This window comes from Homo sapiens, chromosome 10 (assembly GCF_000001405.40).
Source record: "Homo sapiens chromosome 10, GRCh38.p14 Primary Assembly".
Classification (NCBI taxonomy): Eukaryota; Metazoa; Chordata; class Mammalia; order Primates; family Hominidae; genus Homo; species Homo sapiens.
The window spans coordinates 72,872,310-72,900,229 of NC_000010.11; the positions used below are offsets into that span (position 1 = coordinate 72,872,310).

Below are 27,920 nucleotides of genomic sequence, written 5' to 3' on the forward strand. Positions count from 1 at the left end.
AATAAATTGTTGTTAACTATTGAACACTAGAGCTTATTCCTCCTATCTAACTGTAATTTTGTACCATTAACTAACTTTTCCCTATCCCCTTCTCTCCTCTACCCTTCCCAGCCTCTGGTAAACATTATTCTCCTCTCTACTTCTGTGGGTTCAACTTCTATGGGATCAGCTTTTTTAGCTCCCACATATGAGTGAGAACATGTGGTAGTTGTCTTTCTGTCCCTGGCCTATTTCATTAAATATAATGTCCTCCAGCCTTATCCATTTTGCTGCAAAGGACAGGATATCATTCATTTTATTGCTAAGTAATATTCCATTGTGTATATGTACCACATTTTCTTTATCCATTCATCCCTGGATGGGCACTTAGGTTGATTCTGTATCTTAGCTATTGTGAATAGTGCTGCGGTAAACATAGGAGTGCAGATATAGCTTTAACATACTGATTTCCTTTCCTTTGGATATATGCCCACTAGTGGGATTGCCAGATTGATTGTATGATATTTCTATTTTTCGTTTTTTTGAGGAGGCTCCCTACTGTTTTCCATAATGGCTATACTAATTTACATTCCCAGCATTTCTCCACATCCTCACCAGCATTTGATATTCTTTTTCTTTTTTATTATAGCCATTTTAACTGGAATGAGATGATATTTCATTGTGGGTTTTTTTATTTGTTTGTTTTTGTTTTTTTGTTTTTTGGGTTTTTTTTTTTTTTTTTTTTTTTGAGATGGAGTCTCGCTCTATTGCCCAGGCTGGAGTACAATGGCACGATCTCGGCTCACTGCAAGCTCCGCCTCCTGGATTCACACCATTCTCCTGCCTCAGCCTCCTGAATAGCTGGGACTACAGATGCCCGCCACCACGCCCGGCTAATTTTTTGTATTTTTAGTAGAGACGGGGTTTCACCGTCTTAGCCAGGATGGTCTCGATCTCCTGACCTCGTGATCCACCTGCCTCGGCCTCCCAAAGTGCTGGGATTACAGGCGTGAGCGACCGTGCCCTGCCTTCATTGTGGTTTTGATTTGTATTCCCTGATGATTAGTGACTCTGAGCATTTCCTCATATACCTATTAGTCATTTGTATGTCTTCTTTTGAGAAATGTCTATTCAGATCTTTTGCCTATATTTTAATTGGATAGTTTATTTTTTTGCTATTGAGTTGTTTGAGTTCCTTGTATATTCTGATATAAATCCTGTGTCATATGAATAGCTTTTGCAAATGTTTTCTCCCAGTTCTGTAGGTTGTCTCCTCACTCTGCTGACCGTTTCCTTTGCCGTACAAGAGCTTTTTAGTTTGATATAATCCCATCTGTCTATTTTGACTTGTGTTGCCTGTGCTTTTTGAGGTCTTACAAAAAATCTTTGCCCAGACCAATGTCTGGAAGGTTTCCCCAATGTTTTCTTCTAGTAGTTTCATAGTTCAGGTCTTAGATTGAAGTCTTTAATACATTTTGATTTGATTTTTTGTATGGAGAGAGGGGGATCTACTTTCATTCTTCGGCATATGGTTATCTAGTTTTCCCAGCATCATTTATTTAAAAGATTGCCTTTTCCCCATTGTGGGTTCGTGGTGCCTTTGTCAAAGATGATTGGCTATAAATGCTTGGATTGATATCTGGATTCTCTATTCTGTTTCTTTGGTCTATGTGTCTGTTTTTATGCCAGTACCATGCTATTTTGCTTACTGTAGCTTTGTAGTAAATTTTGACATCAGGTAGTATGATGCCTCTAGCTTTGTTCTTTTCGCTCAGGATTGCTCTGGCTGTTCAAGGTTTTTTCTGGTTCTGCATAGTTTTTAGAATTTTTTTCCTATTTCTGTGAAGAGTATAATTGGTATTTTGATAGGGAATGCATCAAATGTGTACATGGTTCAGGGTAGTGTTGATTTATTCTTTATCAACCGAGGCTCCTTTATTGAATACCAGTATCTAGAACTAATTTTTATTGTCAGTGCCGTTTTAAATATCTTGGAATTCCAGTGTCACTTTAGGAAGTATGAAGATTTAGCATTACTTTCAGTTATTATTATAATATACCATCATAGATCCAACCTAGCACTCCCTTTAATATCAAATATTTGAAATACCTGAGACATCGGAAAAGCTTTTTCTGTTTTCTTAGTTATCAGAAGAAAGCTGAGAGTTGCATCTCATATTTAATATGGCTGCTATTGAACATACGCATTTTCTTTCTGTTGTTAGATTAGTGGTCACAGCCTATTTGTGTTTGGGGAAATGATAGCACAAGAATGTTATTTAACTTTTCTTGGCCTCCCAAATGTGTCTAATAGAGAAGAAAGTAAACTGTTTTATGTCTTACAATTGCTTGCCCAGAATTTTTAGCACCTAGTTGCATGTCTGGCTCATACTAGTCACTGTGAACGAACTGAACAGTCACATCATTCTTATCTGATCACAGCTCTGGGCATGGATAACAACCATGTTTTCAGCCAAACACTAATATTTTTCCAGTTATACCTTGAATCTAAAGATCACCCTTGATATATCTCTTGCTGATTAATTGGGTACAAAATAGTGGTATTTCCTTGTGGACTTTCCATTTCCTTGATTACTGAAGAGGTGAAGCATTCTTTCCACTGTGAGATACCCATACCTTTTGCTTGGTCATTACTATTAAGTACGTTTTGCTAAGCCTAATTATGTGTCCAGCATTTTACATCTAGTAACATAAGTACATCTATTCACATATTTAATCTCAACCCTATAAGTATTAATATATCGCCATTCCATAGATGAGGAAACTGAGTCTCCAAGAGGATAAGTAATCTGCCCAAACATTATATCTAGTACACTGTAGGACAAGGAATTGAATCCAGATTTGTGTGGCTCTGTAGGCTGCTCACTTTCCACTCAATTATGCTGCCTTCTGTTGACTTCATTTATGAGGAGTAACTTTTGAAAACTATAATTAGAATAGATACAGAATAGAAATAAAAATATATTGGGGAAATAATTATTACTTCTTACAAAGGGCTGTTTTGTAAATGTTTTCTGTATTAGACTTGAATACAGTGTTACCACTTTCTCCCTTCTCGTCATGCTGTAGAATCTTTAATGCCCTACCTGTCCTACTAGTTAAATGCTCCATTCTGTGATTACCAAAATAGTCTTGCTGCCCCCAAGTGACAAGTTGCAAAATAGCAGTAGTAAATAATTTAGTCACTATTCACTTATGAATAGGAAAACAGTGACCAAATAAAATGTAAATAGTTTTCATATTAAATATTTTTACTAACATACCCATCTTATTACCTCTGAAGCAAATGCCTGTTCAATGGCATTTAAACTCTTCTAAACTGCTGTTACTATGAGTTGCTGTACTTGTTAACAGTCTAAATATATCCCAATAGTATGTTAAGTTCCAAAGAATCTTTTTAAGATGGCAAGCTCCTTGAAATCATAAAATCAAATGGAATATTGAGTTTTGCTGATTAATATTTCAGTAGAACCTGAGTACTGATTTCTATTATGTGGAAAAGGAGCTGGGCAGTAAGACTTGCCTGTGGGAGCTGTGTCAGCGTGCAGGTGGACCAGCCGTCCCACCATCTGGCCCATGCCTTTTCAATGAAGGGGATGATGTTGCCTCATAGGAGTGAGCATTGATTCTTGGGGAGTAAAAACATATTGCATATTATAATGCATAAACAGATAAACAGTATATTAAACCTCCTGTGGGAAGGAGGAGTAATCAGGAAAAAAATGCCTTAAAAAGCTACTTAGGGTGGCAATAATGAAAAAAGTGTTGATAAATAGTGACCTAGCCTTTAATACCCTTTACCTCCTCAATTCCAATAACCGTCATTTATATTGTACTCCGGCAAACCACTTCAATGGCTGTTCAGGGCCTTCTTTCCTAGAACTGTCCCACTTATAATATAAATTAGTATGTTAATTTCTGATAATTTATTTTCTTTCTAGACCTTTTATTCACTCACTCACTCCTTTGACCTCATCCAGACCTTTAAGCTACTGGCATCTTTCCCTTAACTTTTTACTGTCACCTTCCTCCTGTATCACTTCCTTTTCTATCCAATTTAAACTGTGTTGCCATTCTCTTCTTAGTATGCTACCATCCCTGCCCTTTTGTCTTTTACAGTATGTACTCTATAAACTCCTAATATTGGACTAATCTAGACCTTTATCCTATCTATATCTAGGCTATTAAATATTACTAGAGAGAAAGCATGTCATAGTGTAGAATGGGCCACTGCTTGTGTTTTTAATCATATTTTCTTCCCTCATATCCCCATAGTAGTTATTCTAAGACTTCACATCAAGATCCCCATCCCACCCTTAACCTTCTCCTAGAAAATTGAAGTTAACAGTTAGAAGCTTTCTAATTCTTAAAACTGTAAATGCAACTGTATCTGTACTGAATTTTACACGATTTCCATCAAATTCCAAGAAGAGGTGGCATTTTCCTATTTAGGGCTAGCCCCTCCACATGTTCTTAATCCCATTCCTTCCTCCTAGTATCTTATTCCAGTTTCTTTTTTGTGTTCCCTGTGTTTTTAACCTCTCCCTCTGTGACTTTCTTTCTTTCCTAACAAAACTGTCTGCATCTTCTCTCACTTAGTATCAAATCACAGTTTTTTTTTTTTTTTTTTGAGACAGGGTTTTACTCTGTCTCCTAGGCTAGAATGCAGTGGCATAATCACAGCTCACTGAAGCATCTACCTCTCAGACCCAAGCAATTCTCCCACCTCAGCCTCATGAGTACCTGAGACCATAGGCATGTGCCACCATGCCCAGCTAATTTTTTAAATATTTTGTAGACAGGGTTTCCCTACATTGCCCAGGCTGGTCTCAAACTCCTGAGCTCCAGTGATCCTCCGCCTCAGCCTCTCAAAATACTAGGATTACAGGCATGAGCCACTGCACTTAGCCCAAATCACAGAAATTTTAGAATAGAGTCTAGCACATAGTTGCTCAGTAAATGATTGTTGCCCGAAAGAGGAAGCACAGAAAGATTTGAATAAACTTAGTGTGTATATTTGCATCCTAAGCAAACATAGGTGAATAGCCTAGTAGCAGCATGTTAGATGAATGTAGAGGGCTTTCCCTCAAGTTCTTAATCCACTAATTATCCCTTCAGTTGATTCAGACCTCGATTTTATTCATTTTAAAAAGGCTTCCACAAACCCTTTAGCTATCAGTCATCCAATATCTATTATCTATCATCATCAATAACTAAATATTTACTCTGGTTCTAGTTGTGGCATACTAGGCAATCAATCAGTCCTTCCACCAAGAAAAGTTAGAATTGTTAGACAAAACATAATACACATCTGTTTAAAGATACTAGAGAACTAACAAAATAGCAAAAATTGCTAGGTAAGGGTCTAAATAAGAGGAGTCCCAGGAAGATGAGACTAGTATTTAGGTGTGCTTTTTCCTCTGGGGATTTATGCTAATTGAGGAGAGTATAGTGGAGAGGCCAAGAAGCTGAGCCACACTTGTTAGCCTAGAGGAACCAAAGCCTTAGAGATTGGTGTCTAATGATCACTAAAGTAGGCGAAACAGAAACCATCTTGCTTTGATTTGGAACCTGTAAAGGCTACCATTGTAGAATAAGGATTCACCTAGTATAGGCTCTTTCAGGTACTGTAGCTCATCTTTCATTCATCTCAATCCTGTAAATTAGATTGAGGTAGTCCTGGAATACTGGTAATCCCCGAGTGCTGATGCTCACAGGTTTCATGCAGAAGCAAACATAAATCATCCCTGGGAGGAGATAACATTATTCTAAACCTTAAATTATTTCTACAAATAATTTTGCTTTTTTTTTTTTTTTTTTTTTTTTTGAGACAGAGTCCTACTCTGTTGCCCAGGTTGGAGTACAGTGGCACAATCATGGCTTACTGTAGCCTCATACTCCCAGGCTCAAGCAGCCCTCCCTCTTAGCTTCCTGAGTAGCTGGGACTACAAGCACATATCACCATGCCCAGCTAGGATTTTTTGGCATTTTTTGTAGAGCTGTGGTTTCTCCATGTCACTCTGACCGGTCTCAAACTCCTGGGCTCAAGCGATCTGCCTGCCTCAGCCTCCCAAAGTGCTGGATTACAGGCATGAGCCACCATGCCTGGCCAGTTTTGCAGATATTAAATTAGACATACAATAAAAATAAGCAGATACACAATACCTACAGAAACAATAGACATTACAAACAGACACAAGGACTCCAGATATTGGTATTATCAGACATAGCCTTTAAAATAATTATACTTACTATATTCAGGGAGATAAACAACAAGGTTGAGAATATTGGCAGATAACTTGATTTTTTGTTTAAAGAACCCATTGAAAAATTTTAGAAGTGAAATATAATGGATGGGTTTAATAGCAGATTAGACATAACAAAAGACAGAAATAGTGACCTTGAGTAAGGCACAAGAAACTATTCAAAATGAAGTGTGCAGATACAGAAAGATGTAAAATATAGGAAAGGGTAAGAGACACAGTATACAGTGGAAAGGCCTAATATGTATTTAATTTTATTGGAGTCTCAGAAGGAGAAGAGAAAGAGGATGGGAAGAAACAATATTTAAATAAAGAGTTAATGGCTGAGAATTTTCCAAAATGATGAAAGACATCCATTTACAGATTTAAGAATCCCAACCAATACCAGCCAATATAAAAAAGGAAATCTGACTGGGCGCGGTGGCTCACACCTGTAATCCCAGCACTTTGGGAGCCCAAGGTGGGTGGATCACTTGAAGCCAGGGGTTTGAGACCAGCCTGGCCAACATGGCGAAACCCCTTCTCTACTAAGAATACAAAAATTAGCTGGGCATGTGGCACACATCTGTAATCCCAGCTACTCGGGAGGCTGAGGCATGAGGATCGCTTGAACCTGAGAGACGAAGGTTGCAGTGAACTGAGATCACACCACTGCACTCCAGCCTGGGTAATAGAGCAAGACTCTGTATCAAAAAAATAAAATAAAAAAGGAAATTTCCATTGAGATATATTGGTAGTAAAACTTCAAAAGCCAAAGCCAAATGGAAAAATCTTAAAAGCAGCCAAAGAGAGAAAAAAGTTTGCCTTCAAAGGAGTCCCTGTTAGACTGAATGCTGACTTCTCAATAGCAGCAATGAAAGCCAAAGACAATGGAATAGTATCTTCAATTTCTAGAAAGAAAATAACTGTCATCTTAGACTTCTATACTCAGCAAAAAATATCTTTCCAAAATAAAGACATTTTCAGACAGAGAATTTGTCACCATCAGATCTGCACTAAAGGAGATACTGAAAGATGTTCTTTGGGCAGAAGAAAGATTATCACACGTGAAAAGTCGGAAAAGCAGAAAGGAATAAAGAGCAACAAAAATGGTAAACCTGTGAGTGATGAGTCTAAACTAATATTAAATGTATAAACAATAATAAACTCTTATGGAATTTAAAATATAGAGAGAATTAAAATGCAACAACAGGCCGGGCTAAGTAGCTCATGCCTGTAATCCCAGCACTTTGGGAGGCTGAGGCGGGCAGATCATTTGAGGTCAGGAGTTTGAGACCAGCCTGGCCAACATGGCAAAACCCTGTCTTTATTAAAAATATAAAAAAATCAGCTGGGCATGGTGGCACACACCTGTAATTCCAACTACTGGGGAGGTTGAGGCATGAGAATCGCTTGAACCCAGGAGGTGGAGGTTGCAATGAACCGAGATCACGCCACTGCACTCCAGCCTGGGTGACAGAGTGAGACTCTGTCTCAAAAATAAATAAGTAAAATTAAATGTGCAACAACAATGACATATATGTCTGGAGCAGGTAAATAGACTTAAAATGTTCTAATATTCCTTCATTGTCTGGGAATAAGGTAGAAGTACCGCTCCTATTCACCTTTGAAGAGGAGGCCCTAGCCAGTGCAGAAGGCAAGAACAGAATATGAAAGATACAAAGATTGGAAAGAAAGAAAACTGACACTTACAGATTTTGTACATGAAAAAATACAGAAGAAATGTACAGATAATTGGTTAGGATCCATAAGTGAGTTTCATAAGGTTATTGGATACAAGATCAATGTATGTAAATCAATTGCGTTTCTATATTGCTAGCAACAAATGGTTAGAAAATGAAAATATTTAAAGCTGCACCTTAAAATTACTTTTAAAAATACATAGACCACACGTAGAAGGCAAAGCGGGGGGGGGGAAACCCTAGAAATATATGTATAAAAAATGTATAAGACTCTATCCAAAAATGTCAGTTCTACTCAACTGATCCATTAGATTCAGTACAATCCCAGTTAGTCAAAAACCCAACAGATTTGGGGATTGGGGAAGAGATTTGAATAGACTGCTTCTAAAACGGTATGAAAATGTAAAAGACTAAGAAAAGCCATTAAACTCTTGAAGAAAAACTGGGTAAGAGGATTTGCTCTATTAGATATGAAGACTACAGCTTTAGTTATAACACTTCAATAACAGTGGCACAAGGACAGACCTATAGAATAGAAGAGTATAGAAACAGACCCAGTATAAATGAACTTTTGATTTTAAGAAGATGGCAGGCCAGGCATGATGGGTCATGCCTATAATCCCAGTGCTTTGGGAGGCCAAGGTGGGAGAATCACTTGAGGCCAGGGGTTCATGACCAGCCTGGACAACATAGTGAGACCCAATAGCTAAAAAAATTTTTTTAAATTAGTTGAGTGTGGTGTCGTGCACCTGTAGGTACGAGCTACTCAGGAAGCCAAGGTAGGAGGATTGCTTGAGCCCAGGATCTTGAGGCTGCATTGAGCTATGGTCACACCACTGTACTCCAGCCTTGGTGGCAGAGTGAGACTCAAAAATAAATAAACAAAAAAGATGGCCCTACAAAGAAAGGAGAGTCTTTTTCAATAAATGGTGCTAGGACAATTAAATACCTATATTAAAAAATGAAATAACCCCATTTTATACTATAAACAAAAATAAATTCCAGGTGGATTGTAGATCTAAATGTGATAGGTAATGTATAGCTATTCTCTTATAGCTCCTATAAGAGAATATCTTAATGACTGTAGAATAGAGAATGATTTCTTACACGGAATGAAAAGCACTAACCATACAGGATAAGAGTGATAAAGTAAGCCAGGCACTGTGGTGTATGCCTGTAATCACAGCTACTTGGGAGGCTGAGATGGGAGGATCGCTTGAACCCAGGAGTTTGAGGCCAGCCAACATAGCAAGATCCCATCTCACAAAAGAGAATGATAAATTAGACTACATTAAATTAATATCTGTTTATTAACACCATGAAGAGGGTAAATAGGCTGGAAGGAGATACTTGCAGTATGTATACCCTACAAAGGATCTATATCCAGAATATATAAACAAATTCTACAAATCAGTAAGAAAGTGACAGACTCCACTAGAAAAAATGGCAAGATATCTGAACAGGCACTTCTAATAGAAGATATGCAAATGGCCAATAATAGATTAAATGGAAAGGCCTCAGCCTCTTAGTGATCAGGAAAATGCTGTGTATCTCCAAGAGAAATGAAAATGTACATCCACACAAAAACTTGTACACAAGTGTTCACAGCAGGATTGTACATAATAGCCCCAACGTGGAAACAACCCAAATGCTATCAGCTGAGGAATGGATAAATAAAATGTGGCATAATTATTGTTGTGGGAAGTCAGGGACCCCAAACGGAGGGACCGGCTGAAGCCATGGCAGAAGAACGTGGATTGTGAAGATTTCATGGACATTTATTAGTTCCCCAAATTAATACTTTTATAATTTCTTACGCCTGTCTTTAGTGCAGTCTCTAAACACAAATTGTGAAGGTTTCATGGACACTTATCACTTCCCCAGTCAATACCCTTGTGATTTCCTCTGCCTGTCTTTACTTTAATCTCTTAATCCTGTCAGCTGAGGAGGAAGTATGTCACCTCAGGACCCTGTGATAATTGCATTAACTGCACAAATTGTAGAGCATGTGTGTTTGAACAATATGAAATCTGGGCACCTTGAAAAAAGAACAAGATAACAGCAATTGTTCAGGGAATAAGAGAGATAACCTTAAACTCTGACCGCCAGTGAGCCAGGTGGAACAGAGCCATATTTCTCTTCTTTCAAAAGCAAATGGGAGAAATATCGCTGAATTCTTTTTCTCAGCAAGGAACATCCCTGAGAAAGAGAATGCACCCCTGAGGTTGGGTCTCTAAAATGGCCCCCTTGGGTGTGGCCGTCTTCTATGGTCGAAACTGTAGGGATGAAATAAACCCCGGTCTCCCATAGCGCTCCCAGGCTTATTAGGAAGAGGAAATTCCCACCTAATAAATTTTGGTCAGACCAGTTGCTCTCAAACCCTGTCTCCTGATAAGATGTTATCAATGACAATGGTGCCCGAAACTTCATTAGCAATTTTAATTTTACCCCGGTCCTGTGGTCCTGTGATCTCGCCCTGCCTCCATTTGCCTTGTGATATTCTATTACCTTGTGATGTATGTGATCTCTGTGACCCACACCCTATTCGTACACTCCCTCCCCTTTTGAAAGTCCCTAATAAAAACTTGCTGGTTTTGCGGCTTGTGGGGCATCACGGAACCTACCGACATGTGATGTCCCCCCCGGATGCCCAGCTTTAAAATTTCTCTCTTTTGTATTCTGTCCCTTTATTTCTCAAACTGGCCAACGCTTAGGGAAAATAGAAAAGAACCTACGTGACTATCAGGGCAGATTCCCCGATAACTATTAATGGAATGTTATTTGGCAATAAAAAGAAATGAAATACTGATACATGCCACAAATGGATGAACCTTGAAAATGTTATGCTAAGTGAAAGAAGCCAGACACAAAAGGCCACATATTGTATGATTCCACTTATATGAAATGTCCAGAATAGACAAATTACAGAGGCAGAAGAAAGATTAGTAGCTGCCTAGAACTGGGGGTTTGGGGGGAGAGGAGACTTGACTGTCACAAGGTATGGAGTTCTTTTTTGGGGTGATGAAAATGTTCTAAAATTGTAGTAATGATTGTACAACTCTGTGACTATATTATAAACCATTGAGCATTATACTTTGAGTAAATTGTATGGTATGTGAATTATATCTCAATAAAGCTTTTTTTAAAAATGAGACAGTATTGCATACACAGCAGAATGGCTAACGTCTTTTAAACTGGCAATATCAAGTATTGGCAAGGGTGTGGAATGGTGGTACCTCATAATCCTGCTGATAGAAGTATAATTGGTACAACCATTTTGGAAACTGTTTATCATCACTGCTTACATTTGAACACATGCATACCCTGTGATCTAAGATTTCCACTCCTAGGTATATCTCCAGCAGAAGAGATAAATCCAGAAATGCTTTTGGCAGCATTATTAGTAAGAACGGAAACAACCCAAAAGCTTATCAATAGTAGAATGGTTAAATAAACTATGATGAAGTCACACAATATAATATAATGGAAATGAATAGACTGCAGCTACACACAAAAGGTGAATTTCACAAACCTAATACTGAGTGAAGGTAGCCATATAAATATATACTGTATGACTCCATCTTCATAAAATTCATAAAACAGGTAAAACTAAGTTGTGGAACTTAGGAATACATGCTTAAGGAGGTAAGTTATAAAGAAAATAAGAAAACAATTACCATAAAAGTCAAGAGAGTGATTACTTTGGGGGAAAGAGATATGAGTAATTGGGAAGGGGCAAGAGGGAGTTTCTGGATTGTTGGCAGAGTTCTATTTTTATAAAACCTGGTGATGAGTAGCATGTTCATTGTGTGATGATTCACTGTGATGTACATTTTGTGTGTACTGTTCTGTATGTTTCACAGTAGAAATGTTCAGGTGGTGATTAAATACTTAACACAGCACATGTCAGCACACACGCATACATATGTATTGAATCTAAGCAGCAGTTAGTAAATATTTTGTGAAGATAGTATGCTAAGGACTGATAATTCCGTTTCTTCATTTTTTTAGGAATATGTTTATCCAGAAGCCAGAGACAGACAATACTTACTATTTTTCCATAAAGGAGCCAAAAAGTCACGTTTTGACCTAGAGAAATACAATCAACTCAAGGATGCAATTGCTCAGGTAAGTTTTACAAAAATTAAAATAAATCCCAGCCCTATCTTGCATGGTTATTATTATTATCCACAGCCACGGTTCTTCAAATGAGTAAACTGAAGGAATGTTCCAACCCTCTTCTTCCTGTATAAATTATTCCTCAGTTGATTACAGTAACTATTTTAGGCATGGACATTTCTCTAGAAAGTTTTATAAAAAGCAAGTGAGAAGATGGTGTGTTTGCTCCATCCTGTTAACACTAGCACATTGACATTTTTAGGCCTACTTTTACTTTTTTTTTTTTTTCATTTTATTTCTTTGTAGTTGTCTGTTTCTACTTTTCCCTCTGCTTTTTGATTATTTCTGTAATAATTTATCTAAGATTTTTCACAAAAATGTGTGGTAGCAGTGGGGAAAAGTAAAACCCAGGTAAGAGGGAAAGACTGCTAGAGATCTTTGCCAGGGACAGTTTAGAGATTATTAAACTAGAAGATGCTTGGAAAAGATTGATATATTTTATTTTTCATAAAAGCTACCTCTTTCAAATTTCTGGATGTGCCTCCCTCACTCTGTTATCTTTGATTTTGGTGAATAAACCCTCATTCCTTTTCTCTGTAGTCTTTGTGACTTTAGAGATTTTTCAGCAATCTCTAGAAGCTTTTCCATCCTCTTTAATGTTTAGTTGCTCTTCTCTGCCTTTCCTGTCTCTTCTTGATGATAGGGTTGTGCTTTGAATAGGCTTAATCCATCTTCCTGCTTTGGCCTAAGTGGAGTTCTGTCTTCCTTTGCTATGTATGGTGATTCTAAACTGGAGGGAATACATCAGAATCATGCCTGGAGCTGTTAAAAGTACAGATGCTTCAGTCTCACCCTAGGCTTGCTCGTTAGTCCAGCTCCTCCCGGGTGAAGTCCAAGCATGTGTGAGTTTTGAAAGTACTACAGTTGACTACACACGCTGTTCCAAAATTCACTGGCTAAGTAAAAACTTAAACAGGTACTGGATAAATAACTAAAATCTTGAGTAGCATAAAGTTCTGGCTCTTAGCCCTTGTGAAAGGGCTTCTCACTGGAGAAACACCATCAAGATGTATGTCTCAGATGCTCCTTACATTCTTAGCCTCTGAGTCCTACCCTGTTGATAGCACTGATTTTTCTGGAGGCTTTGTTGAGGGCTGAAACTGCCAAGGATGGCTTCCATTTTGGATTCACCCTTTGTTGTCCTATGCCGTGAGTTAAAATGCTTTGTCTTTCAAGGCACTCTTATTTTGAGAGTTATTGAGATGATCTCTCTGACTTATAGTAATGGAGAACAGTTTCCTTTTCTTGGTAGACAGTAATATCATTGAAAGCTTCACTAGCCAGTTTTCTCACCTTTTGTTTCTATTTTAGGCAGAAATGGACCTTAAGAGACTGAGAGACCCATTACAAGTACATCTGCCTCTCCGACAAATTGGTGAAAAAGATTGATCTGCAAAAAGCCTCTGAATCCTGGCAGAAGGAACACCTGTTTGCCTTTTTAATTAAAGCATTGCAGGTGGAAGCTGGGAGCCATGTGGGGGGTAGAGCGTTTTTACCTTTAATTATAAAACAAAAACAGAAAGGATCTGAGGGAAGAAGGGAATGTTAAAACCTGAGGATCAGGCATTGTGGAATATAAGCTCAAAGGGCTTAGTGAATATTGTCTTAACCAAGTATCTCAGTTTCTGGATGAAAATGATGCAGTTATATAGTTGAGAGATTCATAAAGAGAAAACAATGCTGGGGGTGTTCGTTTCTTGCATCTTCTTTGCAGAGTCAGCAAAAGAGTAACACACCAGCACCCCACTCGACTCTATTTGTTTTTAATTTAACTGTCCCTATTTTTGACATAGGAGTAAATAAATATACTAGAAAAGCAAATTCTCATGATATGCTAAAATATCATTAGCATTTATTTTAAATTGGACCCAGTCTCTGCAGAGTTACCAGGAATCTTTCCTTCCAGCATCCCTTTACTGACCACCTACCTGTACCTCTTGGTTACACTCATTTTTTCCATTTGATAATTGGAACCAACTTATAACTGTTTAATAATTGACACTTTAGATTATCTCTTAATACCTTCTTAAATGTCTATATATCCCAGTGCTCTGGATCAGTGTCTAAAAATCACTGGCAACACTGCATGAGGTTGTTGGTTTTGTTTTGTTTTATTAATTAGTCTTTCACAGGAGGAATAATTGCCCTCCTTTATATACTTATCTATTGATAATCCCCTCTCCCTCCAGAACACAAATCAGAGGGAAAGGGGGTGTTCAGCTGTACTACCAAATCAGGAAGATGTAAGGTTTACAAATTGGCTAAGAATCATGGCTCTGTAGCCATTTCAACCAGAATAATTTTATTGCTAATCTGCTTTGTGTGACAGCATTCCAGGCCAGCCAGATGGGACTGCCTTGTCTGGAGGCTTTGTTCATCTCGAAGGACACACACTTCCACACTGTTTGTGAGCCCTCCCACCTCCACAACTTCAGTTGTAAATCAAGTGTGTGGATCTCAAAGGGTGCAATTTATCTTTATATAGGAATACATTTCTAGGGCTTCCTTCAAGCCCACTCTCTTCACCCTATTTTTTCTTATCTTAAATTGAGAGAAAGAGAATTAATCTTATACTTTGTCAAAACATTTTCTACCATATTTCCAGATGACATCTGCGCTTGAAGAGTCAAAGGAATCTGTGTCTAATATCCTGTTTTTAACTGCTGTAGGGGCAGGATGGAAAGGATGATGGGGGCTGCCACACCACTGATTGGCCTTTTCTTTCACGTGATTCATCCTTCCTCATTGTGGCAAGGAGTTTCTTTCTCTTTTTCTTCCTCCTTTGGGATCATTGTGTATGAAAAGAAAAACTTTAAATGACAAACCCAGACTCCAGGTGCCTTGCAAAGGTTGAAGGCCAGCCAGGATTGCTGCTGCTGCTGCTACTCCTGCCAACACCCCTTTCATTGGCATGACGGAATGAAAGGATGCATGTCTCCACTTCCTGACCCTCCGCCCACTTCCTTCTCCCTCCACCACCCCCAGTCGTCAGCTCCTTCCCTCATTTATTTTTGTTAAGTTGTGTGAATTATTTTTAACCCATTTATCCTGTTTGTGCATAGGGTTTTTAAGAAGAAACAGCACAGTGCAACGAGCAAATCTTTTTGGGGTGTGTGGGAAGCAAGGGAGGGAGGACATGGAGAAAAGTTCTTTAAACAAATAGCAAACTATTGAACATGTGTAAAATCCTGTATCATTTATGAAATATGTATAAAAAGCAATGTACCTTCTGGAACAATAAATACTTATTCAATTTTTGAACGATAGCATCTCATTCTTTAAAACAAAACCAGAAAAACTACATTTCCTGTGATTCTAGGTGGGAAGTTTTTTACTTCTAAAATTCATTTTTATAAAAATATCATTATCAAATTAAGCTCTTCCTTAAGCCTATATTTCAAAAATAGGCATTTCACTAGTTCTTCCTGAACCTAAGATAATCAGTATTTTCCTAATTTTCCAGAGCCACCAAGAGGTTGAGTGACCTGTACAACCGTTAATAAAGTCAGCAGCAGCAGTCTCAGTGAGCCTGAATCCTCATCTCCTGATTGACAGGAAAAATCTCTGTGGTATCAGATCACCTGGATTGCCCAGTGCTATGGGCTCCTGGACTCAAGAAAATTGTTCAAAGACGCACCAAAATTAAGTATTCATTATTTTCAGAGTTTGTATCAAATTTACAGTGGTAGCCAAACAGGAAATATCACATGCTGCCAAGATCACCACAGGCATATTTAAAAACTTGTATTAAATATCTGGTTGCTGGAGTGCAATATGAGGTGCTGTTCAAAGAGCCTCTGTAGCTGTGGTCCTGCCTTCTGGCAGCTTACAGCAGCCTAACGCAGACAACCCTTACCCCCATGTAAAGTGTAAGAAGGTAAGGTTTGACAGAGCAGAAGCATCGCCATCTTGGACAAGCACTGCCATTTTAAGTTCTCCCAATTAAAAACCGCCTAAATCCAGCCCAGAAAACATCAGCCTAATGGCTAATGTCAGCATGACCATAAACCATAAATGACACCTTAGACCAGAAACTTTCCAACCCTGAGATAAAGCCCCCTCTGACCAGAGACATCCCAGCCCCGAGATAACCTCCCCTCCGAACAGACATTCCACCCTTGAAATAAAATTCTCCTCCACCCAGAAACACTCCGAGCATGCGATAAGCTCTCCCTTGCTAAACCCTTAAGTACCCTCAGTCTGTAAGACAGAATGCTCCTGATTGAAATCAGCCAGAATACTCCCCAAAATAAACCTGTCTTTGACTATTGAGCCACTTCTTGTGTTTCCTCCTTCTTTCTTCAACTCTTACAAGGTTGAAAATATTAAGTCGTTTTTTGCATTCAACAAATGGTATCTACATACTTCACACATTCTGTTAAGCTTTGCAGGGTTGTGTTTGTTTTGGTTAGGTTTTTTAAGGAAAATGAAAACATGATTCCTGCCTTTAAGGAGCTTACAATTTGAAGTTTAAAGCAGGAGTATCCAATCTTTTGGCTTCCCTGCACCATACTGGAAGAAGAAGAATTGTCTTGGGCCACACATAAAATACACCAACACTAATGATAGCTGATGAGCTAAAACAAAACACAAAAAACCCTCAATGTTTTAAGAAAGTTTACGAATTTGTGTTGAGCTGCACACGGCCTGCAAACCATGGGTAGGACAAGCTTAAAGTATAGTGAACAACAAAGGAAACCTTATTAAAAAATGGGCAAAGGAGTTGGACAGTTCTCCAAGAAAATATATAAATGGCCAATAAACATGAAAAGATGCTCAACATCACTAATAAGGAAAGGTAAAACTACCATGAAATACCACTTCACACCCATCAGAATGGCTATTATCAGAAAAAGCAGAAAATAAAACGTTGGTGAGAAATTGGAACCCTTGGTACTCCTGGCGGGAATGTAAAATGGTTCATCTCCTGTGAAAAATGGTTCCTATGGTGGCTCCTCAGAAAGTGAAACAATTACCATATGATCCAGCAATTCCACTTCTGGGCATATGTCCAAAAGAATTGAAAGTAGGGACAAACGTGTACACACATGTTCATAGCAGCGTTATTCACCATAGCCAAAAGGTAGGAGTAACCTGAGTGTCCGCCAACAAATGAATGGATAAACAAAACATGGTGTGTGCACACAACTGATTATTATTCAGCCATACAAGAATGGAATTGGGTCACATGCCATAACAAGGATGAGCCTTGAAGACACATGCTAAATGAATCAAGCTAGTCACAAACGGACAATTACTGTATGACTCCACTTACATGATTCGTCAAATTCATAGAAACACAAAGTAACATAGTGGCTGCCGGGGTGAGGGAGGGAAGAATGACAAGTTATTGTTTAATGCATACAGAGTGTCAGTTTGGGAAGATGACAAAGTTTTGGAGGTGGTTGGTGGTGATGGTTGCCCAACGATGTGAATGTACCTAATGCCACTGAACTGTACACTTAAGTGGTTAAAATGATAGATTTTATGTATATTTTACCACAATAGAGAAAAAAAAGCATAGTGGATTAGAGGCAAATAATGATAGTGTCAAATCTATTACTGAGTGTAAGTAATGCAGTTTTGCTGAGGAAGCATAGACTTTAGAGGTGGAAAAAGTAGAAGGGTTCTCAGAACATGGTCCCCAGAGCAGCAGCATGTCATCTCCTGGAGCTGTTAGAAATGCAAGTTCTCCGGTCCCCTTTGGATCAGAAACTAGGAGTGGAGCCAAGTGTTCAACAAGCCCTCCTGGTGATTCTGATGAGAACCATCACTTTAAAGAGAAAGGAACTGAGGCTCAGAGATGGCGCCTACATCACAACTCCTCAGTGCATCCTGTGGTCAAGTACCAGACTGAGTGGCTGGAGGACTGCTGAGCATGGTGACTGGTGAGTAGAAAAGATGTAACCAGAGGTGATGTTAACACTAATGTGGTATCCTGCTTGTCAGGGTGCAGTGGTAAGCACATGGTGGATGCTTTCAAAAACAAATACAAATAGGTTGACTTTTTAAATCTATCTGGAAAGATTTCACAGAAAAATGGGACTTCTTAGATTTTAGAGCTCAGTTTCACCGAAACTCTTCAGAGTTTTAATTCAGTTTTATCACTGCCAACGTTTGTTTGTTGCTCTCCCAAATGAGTCCAAGCTCCTTATTTCCCATGGTGCGCTTGTGATATTTCCTTAGGATAAATGTGTAAGTTATTTTTAATGAATCCTACTGAATATAAGATTACCTACTTTGCCTGTAATCCCAGCACTTTGGGATGCCAAGGTGGGTGGATAGCTTGAGTTCAGGAGTTCGAGACCAGCCTGGGCAACATGGCAAAACCCCATCTCTACTAAAAATACAGAAATTAGCCGGGCATGGTGGTGCACACCTGTAATCCCAGCTACTTGGGTGGCTGAGGCAGGAGAATCATTTGAACCCCGCAGGCAGAGACTGCAGTGAGCTGAGATTGCGCCACTGCACTCCACCCTGGGTTATAGAGTGAGACCCTGTCTCAAAAAAAAAAAAATACTTATTTGATAAATGTTAATATTTTATAAATGCATCATTCACTGAGCAACCCCTCCTCCTTGAACTTCAGCTCCTGTGACTCCACCCTTGGGTTTCCGTTCGTAAATCTGTGACTACTTCTTGGTCTCCTTTACAGCGTCCTATTCCTCTGCCCACATCTGTGATATTAGGCTTCCCCAAGGTTCCATCTTGGACCCCATTTTCCATGGGTGTGATCTCACCCCTCTCCCCTATTTAAATTACCATTTATATGTTGGTAGCTCTCAAATTGTTACTCTAGCTCAGATATATCCTAGACTGATTTATCCTCTTCGTAACTGGTCTATTTCTAGCATTGCCTTCTGTACATTAAATTCTCTCAATGTCACCAGAGTATTTTTGTTTTTAAATTCTAATAGCACATAATTTAGAAAAATTGTAACATATGAACAAGCATTAACATTAAATATGGGGGAGGAAAGACTACAAGACACCACAAAGAAGCAATTCACCAAACCCAAAACGTGGAACATTCTGTAGGACAAATGATGGGGTTTCTTCAACAAATGGAAGGAAGGGGGGAAGACCATTATGGATAAAAATATATATATATATATATATTTTTTTTTTGAAACGGAGTCTCCCTCTGTTGCCTAGGCTGGAGTCCAGTGGCACAATCTCGGCTCACTGTAACCTCTGCCTCCCAGGTTCAAGTGATTTTCCTGTCTCAGCCTCCCAAGAAGCTGGGATTACAGACGTGCACCATCACACTTGGCTAGTTTTGCATTTTTAATAGAGATGGGGTTTCACCATGTTGGCCGGGCTGGTCTCGAACTCCTGACCTCAGGTGATCCACCCACCTTGGCCTCCCAAAGTGCTGGGATTACAGGTGTGAGCCACTGCACCCAGCTGATAAAAATAAATTTAAGTGACAATCAAAATGCAATATATAAATCTTGTTTGGATCCTGACTCAACCCAGCAATAAAAGGAATATTTGGAACTATTGGAGCAATTTAAATATGGATTGGATATGAGTTAAGGAATTATTACTAATTTTCATAGTTGTAATAAAAGCATCATGATTATGTAAAAAAATACAATGTGTTAGAAATGCATACTGGTATGTAAATGAAATTGATAGAATGTTAGTAATTATTATAGCTGAGTGTTCATTATTGTTCTTTATACTTTTGTATATATATTTGAAATTTTTCATCATAAAAAGTAAAAAATGAAAGAGCAGGTCAACTAAAAAGGAAAAAATAGAAATAAGGGGGAAAAAACATCTTACCATCCTGGGAATTCTTGTTTACAGAACCAAAGGCTATCTGGTGAAAGTCCTTGACTCCAGCAATCAATCCTGGCAACAAGTCTGGGTTTATCTCATGCACACGTCCTCTGTTTCTCTGCAACACATATGAAGCCCTCAGATGGCTTCCTAGGCGCAGGAAGTTGTGGGGGATTGTTTTTTCTGTTTAAAGCACTGATACTTAGCAACACTATCCTGCAATGAGACAGCAGAGTCATCCATTGCTGCCATCAAACCACAACTTAATAAGTTAATGGTCAAATTGCCTGTGTCCCACTGATGTTAGTAATGAAGTAGCTAACTACAATTTTAGATCAATGGAAACCCCTTGCTTGACCATAAACCCTGTGCTTCTGGAGACCATGTGTACTTTTGTCATTGTCAAAAACCAGTGATTGCCCGAGCTCGGTGGCTCACACCTGTAATCCCAGCACTTTGGGAGGCCAAGGCAGGCGGATCACGAGGTCAGGAGATCGAGACCATCCTGGCTAACACAGTGAAACCCTGTCTCTACTAAAAATACAAAAAAATTAGCTGGGCGTGGTGGTGGGCGCCTATAGTCCCAGTTACTTGGGAGGCTGAGGCAGGAGAATGGCGTGAACCCGGGAGGCGAAGCTTGCAATGAGCCGAGATCACACCACTGCACTCCAGCCTGAGCGACAGAGTAAGACTCCGTCTGAAAAAAAAAATTGTGCTAAGAAGCACATTTTCTCTCCTTTGTCTAAAAGTGAAACTTCAGGAAATTTTGACATTTAATTTTCCAGAGTGTTAATTTAATGAGTAGTTTCTAATTTTAAGCTCCTACCCCATCTTAATGTGAGAATTAGTGAAATAAATAACATTAAACCATTTTTTAATTTTGGGAGTAAAGACAATAAAAATATGAGGTATTGCTGCTTGAATTAGTAAAAACACAATTTAAACCTTGTTTCTTTCAGAAGTTTTGAGGCCAAAGACCGTAATAAAACAAACTCAGGAGCTTATTTCAAGAGAATACTGTCCTTGTCTCATACCTGTCCTTACTACTTTGTTTTGTGTGCTATTATAAGCTCCTCAACCATCTGACCAAGACAGTTGCAGTGATTTGGCTTCATCCATTCTCGTTTAGTGTGCAGTGCTATGGCTGCAACATTGTGAAATCAATTCCTAGAAGTCACAAAGCAAGAATTTGACGTGAAGGGATGTCCCTCATTTAGAATTCCCTTCTGGATAAGATACTGGGGTTTCATTGCAGGGAATTCTTGAGAGAAAACAATAGGAGGATGAGGGATTGTGAGTTGTGTTTTTTTTTTTTTTTCCTAAAGAAAACTATTAATAAAGGAACCCTGTTGACAGTGTAAAGCAGTGCTTCTCTCTGGGGCCAAGGCCAGAGCTGTGGACACCTTATCCCACTCATCCTCATCCTCTTCCTCTGATAAAGCCCCTACCAGTGCTGATAAAGTCTTTCTCGTGAGAGCCTAGAGGCCTTAAAAAAAAAAGTGCTTGAAAGAGAAGGGGACAAAGGAACACCAGTATTAAGAGGATTTTCCAGTGTTTCTGGCAGTTGGTCCAGAAGGATGCCTCCATTCCTGCTTCTCACCTGCCTCTTCATCACAGGCACCTCCGTGTCACCCGTGGGTGAGTCTCATGTCAAGAACTTGGCACAATGCACTTTTTGTTGTGGCAATTTGCTATAATGTACAGATGATTAAGAACTAGATTCCAGTACCTTAAATGCTAGCTCTAGAATCTTGTAAGAAAAGTCCCTAATAATCCTTGAAAATAGATTTCCCGAGAATTTCTGTTACATGTTCCATTTAGCCTCTTGCCTGGACTCCAAAATTTCCATGGATCTGCCATATCCCACAGCTTTCACTAGCTAAAGAGTTCCTGGAGTATGTGTAAAAATAATTCTATCTTCTTTGTGTTCTAGGCACTTTATAGTTCCAACTTGAAGAGCCAAAAAAAAAAAAATTAAAGTTGAGCATAGAATTTTTCTTTAATGAAGGCAAGGGACTGAAAGCTCTGTTGCCATGGGGGGCACAGATCTGGATAAACCAAACTCATTAGTCTTTATGTCAGAAAATAAGACTTTTTGCACAGATCGAGTGAATCTTAAATTGTCTCCCTCCTCAGGCTTGGTGCAAAACTGGCCAGTCAGGCAAAGAAAAGTTTCAATTCCAGTTACTAACAGATTTCTCTCTTGCATCTTTTTCTAGTAGAATGTGAGTACTAACTGGAACAGAGGGTGGGGGTGAGATGGAGAGAACCATCCTTCTTGACACTTTTGAGTAGCTCAGTATCTAATTGACCCTGGCTTATTTCTTCATGGTTGCTCTAGTACCTGAAAGGATACACATTAAAAATAGGCTTGTGGCCAGGCACGGTGGCTCACACTTGTAATGCCAGCATTTGAGAGGCCAAGGCGGGTGGATCACCTGAGGTCAGGAGTTCAAGACCAGCCTGGCCAACATGGTGAAACTCCGTCTCTACTAAAAATACATACACACAAAAAAATTAGATGGTCATGGTGTTGCATGCCTGTAATTCCAGCTACTTGGGAGGCTGAGGCGGGAGAATCACTTGAACTCGGGATGTGGAGGTTGCAGTGAGCCGAGATCGAACCACTGCACTCCAGCCTGGGCAACAGAGGGAGACTCCATCTCAAAAAAATAAAAATAAAAATAAAAATGGTGATTTGAGACCCTAAGGAGACCTGACACCTAAAGGTAATGTGGGATCCTGGAACAGAAAGATATGGGTGGAAACTAAGGGAATCTGAATAAGTGTGGACTTGAGTTAATAATCAGGTATCAATAGTGGGTCATTAATGTGACAAAGGTACCATGCCAATGTGTGGTAAATGTATGGCTAAAGGTAACGTGTCATAACAAGGGAAACTGGGTGTGGGGTATGTGGGATCTCTTTGTCCTATCATCTCAATTATGCTGTAAATCCAAAACTATTCCAAAAAATATGCTTGAGCTACCTGTCATTAATCACCCCCTATCTGCTGCCAATAACTAACCCAAGGGTCGCTCAGAAAGTTGTCCTCCCGAAAATCTCCACTCCCCTTTCTTCCCACCCTTCTCCTTACCTATTCTCCCTCTAGTACCTCCTATATTCCCCATTCTTTCCATATACCATCGCCCTTCCCAGATCTTTTCCTCCAACCCCCAGCTCCTCAAGGATGATATTTGGCTCAATGCCAGAAGCATGATAAAGGGGGAACTTTGGGAACTAGAGCTGGTGTTTGCCCTGAGAGGACAGGGGAAGTGAGAGAAGAGGAAAAGAAGGGATGAGAAAGGGGGAAGCAAAGTGGGGTGATGAGGGAGGAGGATGGAAGAGGATGGAGCAGGAAAGGAGGGGCACTTCCCGACCAAGCTCAGGCACAGGGTCGAAAAGGGGCTGTGATTCAGGGGCGGCTGTCTGCCGGATAGGACCTGGAGGGTTGGAGGACTCAACCCTGGGGCGAAAGGGTGGGGACGCAGACATGGTTCCCTGCCCTTGGCCCTGCGTGGTCCTGGTGGAAGACAGCAGAGGGGCAGCTGGCAAGTGGGCATCTTAGCAAACCATTGAGGAGCTTCTGGCAGGCCAGGAAGCTGTTCTTTTTGAAGCCTTCGCACTGAGATGTATAGATCAGCATTTTAGGATGAATGTGCGCAATACCAGATTCTGGGCTTCACGCTGAGATTAAAAACAGGATATAAGACCAGTGGCCAGATTATTAGATTGGATTGCTGCCTTAAAAGGGGGTAGAGTGGGATGGGTACGTTAAATGTCAGAAAGTATTGGATGGTTAACTTTTAAAAATATATATGTATTATTTAATTAGTTATAGAAGATGGTAGATAAACTTTTCCTCCTCATACCCTATCTCCCCTACAGCAGGGGAGGAAGTGAACTTTTAGCAAACAGCCCAAGAAATGACATTTAACTTGAAGGAAAAACTTTATAAATAAGGAAATAGTTACTGAGAGAGGTTTAGGAGTTTCTGTAGAAGCGATTAAAAGTTAAGTATCTAACCATTTCTTATAAAATTAGAGCCAGGGAGAGGAATCAAATATTTCTATGACTCTGTAATCACCTGTGAAACTGCTCTGGAAACCTTATTTGTAAGAAAAAGTCACAGCTGGGAGAGCAAAGGAGGAAGAAATTTGTCCCTTTTGATGGGAGAAAGAATCTGAGGATATTTCTTCCCCTCAAAGGATTATGGTCTAGGGTTCAGCCGAGATACATAAGGGGCATTTTAAAGAAAGAGGGTTGTTTCTGCCATTTGCAACCCTGCGTGTTATTTCCAGAAAATGCAATATCCCACTTATTTCTTGTCTTACATTGTCATATTTTCTTGGAGGCCATTAGCAGTGGGCTACACTTTTCTCTACATGTGACTGAAGTTTAGAGAGTAAACTTAACTTTGAATTGTGGATATGTAGATTGGAAAAATCTAAAGTATTTTCTAGACAAGTTAGATTTGGTGATCATGGCCCATTCATATTTAATTTTTGTGCAGTATTTGCTAATACTGAATTCCCTGCCCACAAAATGTATTGGCCCTAATGTGAATTTCCTGCCTATGATATCAGTTACGTAAGTCAACCTCATGTGCATTAAGAAGGATAATATAGTACTCTCTGGCCAATGTTCCTTTCTAGAATTTCTTGGTTTCATAGATTCTTCATAAGGACAATTTACCTATGTTGATTCATTAATTAGTTTCCCTGGAGTTAAGGGGAGCAATGAGAATATTGGAGATATTGGTTCTTTAGTCATTAAAATGTTGTTTTTCTATTTATTTATTTGTTTGTTTGTTTATTTATGAGACGAAGTTTCACTCTCTTGCCCAGGCTGGAATGCAATGGTGTGGTCTCGGCTCCCTGCAACCTCCACCTTCCGGGTTCAAGCAATTCTCCTGCCTCAGCCTCCCAAGTAGCTGGGATTACAGGCACGTGCCACCACGCCCAGCTGATTTCTGTATTTTTAGTAGGGGTGGGGTTTCACCATGTTGACCAGGCTGGTCTCGAACTCCTGACCTCAGGTGATCCACCCGCCTCGGCCCCCCAAAGTGCTGGGATTACAGGTGTGAGCCACTGTGCCTGGCCAAAATGTTGTTTTCCAATGTTTTCATGACATACAATAAAATGTTTTGGTTGAGATATTTGTCCTTGTAATTTATGCACTAAATATGTATGCCTGAGAAACTTGGCTATATGACAGCTAGGATAGTAATGCCATGGTTAACTGTGAATACACAAAGTTCTTGGTATTTTCAATAAGCTGGTAAAATATATACCAAAATTCACTTTGAGAATATTTCTGGTAACAACATGCTAGTATACTCTGTATTTCAAAGTAGGTGACATGTGCCCGAGGCCTTTTTCTTTTCAGTGGAATGAGCTTTTACACATTCCTGATCAAGTCAAACTTTCTAATAATGCAAAATTCCACCTATAATCTTTACAAATGGCCAGCCAAATACTTTTTTGAAAATTTCCAAGGATTGGAAGCTAACTGCACTGTGACACAGCCTCTCCATGACTGGATAGCTGAACTGAAACGTGCTTTCCCATAATTCATTCTTGTTCTTGTAACAGAATAGCTAATTCCTCTTTCACACGCCTGTTCCAGATTTTTAAAAACTAATATGCATTTTCTTCCATCTTCTTTTTTCAAAATGATAGTTCTCAACTTCTCCTGTAAATAATTTTTAGGACCCCTTCTAAGTCTGTTCAACTTTCTCTGAACAAATTTGTCAATTACTTTCATAAAATACAGTCTCCGGCCGAGCACCAGATTCATGCCTGTAATCCCAACAGTTTGGGAGGCTGAGGCAGGAGGATCACTTGAGCCCAGGAGTTCAAAACCAGCCTGGGCAAGATGCCAAAACCCTATCTCTACCAAAAAAAAAAAAAAAAATTAGCCAGGTGTGGTGGCATACGCTTGTGGTCCCAGCTACTTCAGAGGCTGGGTGGGGAGGATCACTTGAGCCCAGGAGGCGGAGGTTGCAGTGAGCCATGGTTGTACCACTGCACTCCAGCCTGGGTGACAGAGCCAAACCCTGTTTCAAAAATAATAATAATACAGTCTCCATGTATGAACAAAATACTCAGAGTGTGGTCTGACTCGTGCAGAGTTCAGTGAGTCTTTAATCCTAACCTCCCTTGGTCTGATCAACTATCCTTCTATCAAATAATTACTCTGGATAAAAATTCAGTTCAATGCTAACACTTAACTTTAGGTTTGAAATACTTTTGAAAAGGGCATTTATGCAACATGTTTAAATCAACCTGAGGAACCTTAAACAGCTATTTTTTGTGACCTTAACTAATTTCTCTCTGGAATTCAAAAATGTCCAAATGCAAGACCAAGAAGTTGGACTTGGGCTGTTGGTGGTGTGATCCGAAACACTCCAGGTACTCTGAGGTATCTTTTTCATTTCCAGCCCTAGATCCTTGTTCTGCTTACATCAGCCTGAATGAGCCCTGGAGGAACACTGACCACCAGTTGGATGAGTCTCAAGGTCCTCCTCTATGTGACAACCATGTGAATGGGGAGTGGTACCACTTCACGGGCATGGCGGGAGATGCCATGCCTACCTTCTGCATACCAGAAAACCACTGTGGAACCCACGCACCTGTCTGGCTCAATGGCAGCCACCCCCTAGAAGGCGACGGCATTGTGCAACGCCAGGCTTGTGCCAGCTTCAATGGGAACTGCTGTCTCTGGAACACCACGGTGGAAGTCAAGGCTTGCCCTGGAGGCTACTATGTGTATCGTCTGACCAAGCCCAGCGTCTGCTTCCACGTCTACTGTGGTCGTGAGTACCTTCCCTGTGCTCTTTTTCTCCACCAACAAGGCCACAGGTGGAGTCCAAAAGTGCCAATTATAGGATATGCAGTTACAGTGGCAACTATATCTCAATCTGAACAACATTGATGTGGGGCTAAAGATACCTCTGATTTCTGAGATCTCTTCTTAGAACTTCTGAAAAATTCCTGAAGAAATAGAAGGGGAAAGGAGCTATGACTTTGATCAGTTCTTTTTAATTTTGTCTGAATTCCATTCAAACAAAACATTAGAAAATGAAACATTGGGCCAGGCGCAGTGGCTCACGCCTGTAATCCCAGCACTTTGGGAGGCTGAGGCAGGTGGATCACAAGATCAGGAGTTTAAGACCAGCCTGGCCAATATGGTGAAACCCTGTCTCTACTAGAAATACAAAAATTAGACAGGCGTGGTGGCAGGCAACTGTAACCCCAGCTACCCGGGAGGCTGAGGCAGGAGAATTGCTTGAACCCGGGAGGTGGACGTTGCGGTGAGGCGAAAATCGTGCCATTGCACTCCAGCCTGGGTGACAGAGTGAGACTCTGATTCAAAAAAAAAAAAAAAAGAAAAAAAGAAAATGAAACACTGATTTAGATTATCTAAATGGTGGATTTCCAACTTTTGAGTATGGAGAACCCCTTTTTAAGATAGATAGATGATAGATAGATAGATAGATAGATAGATAGATAGATAGATAGATAGATAGATAGATGATAGATAGATAATCAGACATCCATGTGATTGGATTGTGTTTAGTGTCCACTGATTTTTTTAAGTGATATACAATGGGAAGAAGCTACTTTATGTCAGTAATACTTTTAATTTCTGTGTTATTAATCCTGTCAATGTCTGTATTCATTTTTTAAATAGAACACTAGAAGAGTAGGACATAACACTTTCTTAGTCTATAGCTCTTGTATGGTGAGGTTTTGGATTTGCAGAAACTCTATGGCCACTCAAGGGCCTGTGGATCTGAAGTTGGGAATCATTGATCTAGATGACAGAAGATGCCCTAGATTGTTGTTTTCCATTGGTTTATATAAACCCTGAACAATGAGGATTCCCTTGATGGTGGCTGGAAACTCATCCCCCAGGCTGCACTTATGAGGCTCTCTCAAGAAGAGGGTCAGCTGGATGCAGTGGCTTATGCCTGTAGTGCCAGCTACTTGGGAGGCCAAGGTGA

At 39.7% G+C, this 27,920-nt stretch overlaps 2 protein-coding genes across 6 annotated transcripts in view, besides 2 other annotated features; both read left to right on the plus strand.

Moving 5' to 3' along the window:
* Nucleotides 1-15,385, plus strand: part of MCU (mitochondrial calcium uniporter) — a 195,552-nt gene extending 180,167 nt beyond the window's left edge. For all 4 annotated transcript variants that reach the window (NR_073062.2, NM_001270679.2, NM_138357.3 and 1 more), the window contains 2 exons: nucleotides 11,957-12,073; nucleotides 13,436-15,385. Coding sequence is in view for 3 of the 4 variants with exons in the window: in NM_001270679.2 (NP_001257608.1) it covers nucleotides 11,957-12,073; nucleotides 13,436-13,513 (195 nt within the window). In the remaining variant the exon portion in view is untranslated. The remainder of the gene's footprint in view (nucleotides 1-11,956; nucleotides 12,074-13,435) is intronic.
* Nucleotides 14,702-14,996: an enhancer, noted in NCBI's record as "tiled region #6662; HepG2 Activating non-DNase unmatched - State 15:Elon, and K562 Activating non-DNase unmatched - State 14:Gen5'". NCBI's record gives its function as "activates a minimal TATA promoter and a strong SV40 promoter by Sharpr-MPRA in HepG2 and K562 cells {active_cell/tissue: HepG2 | K562}" and the evidence as "EXISTENCE:reporter gene assay evidence [ECO:0000049][PMID:27701403]".
* OIT3 (oncoprotein induced transcript 3) overlaps nucleotides 21,430-27,920 on the plus strand; it is a 39,298-nt gene continuing 32,807 nt past the window's right edge. For both annotated transcript variants that reach the window (NR_130125.2, NM_152635.3), the window contains exons 1-2: nucleotides 21,430-21,550; nucleotides 26,355-26,729. Coding sequence is in view for 1 of the 2 variants with exons in the window: in NM_152635.3 (NP_689848.1) it covers nucleotides 21,490-21,550; nucleotides 26,355-26,729 (436 nt within the window). In the remaining variant the exon portion in view is untranslated. The remainder of the gene's footprint in view (nucleotides 21,551-26,354; nucleotides 26,730-27,920) is intronic.
* Nucleotides 26,448-26,658: a silencer, noted in NCBI's record as "fragment chr10:74658515-74658725 (GRCh37/hg19 assembly coordinates)". NCBI's record gives its function as "represses an EF-1alpha promoter that drives an FKBP-Casp9 reporter gene in an ReSE screen in HepG2 liver carcinoma cells {active_cell/tissue: HepG2}" and the evidence as "EXISTENCE:reporter gene assay evidence [ECO:0000049][PMID:32094911]".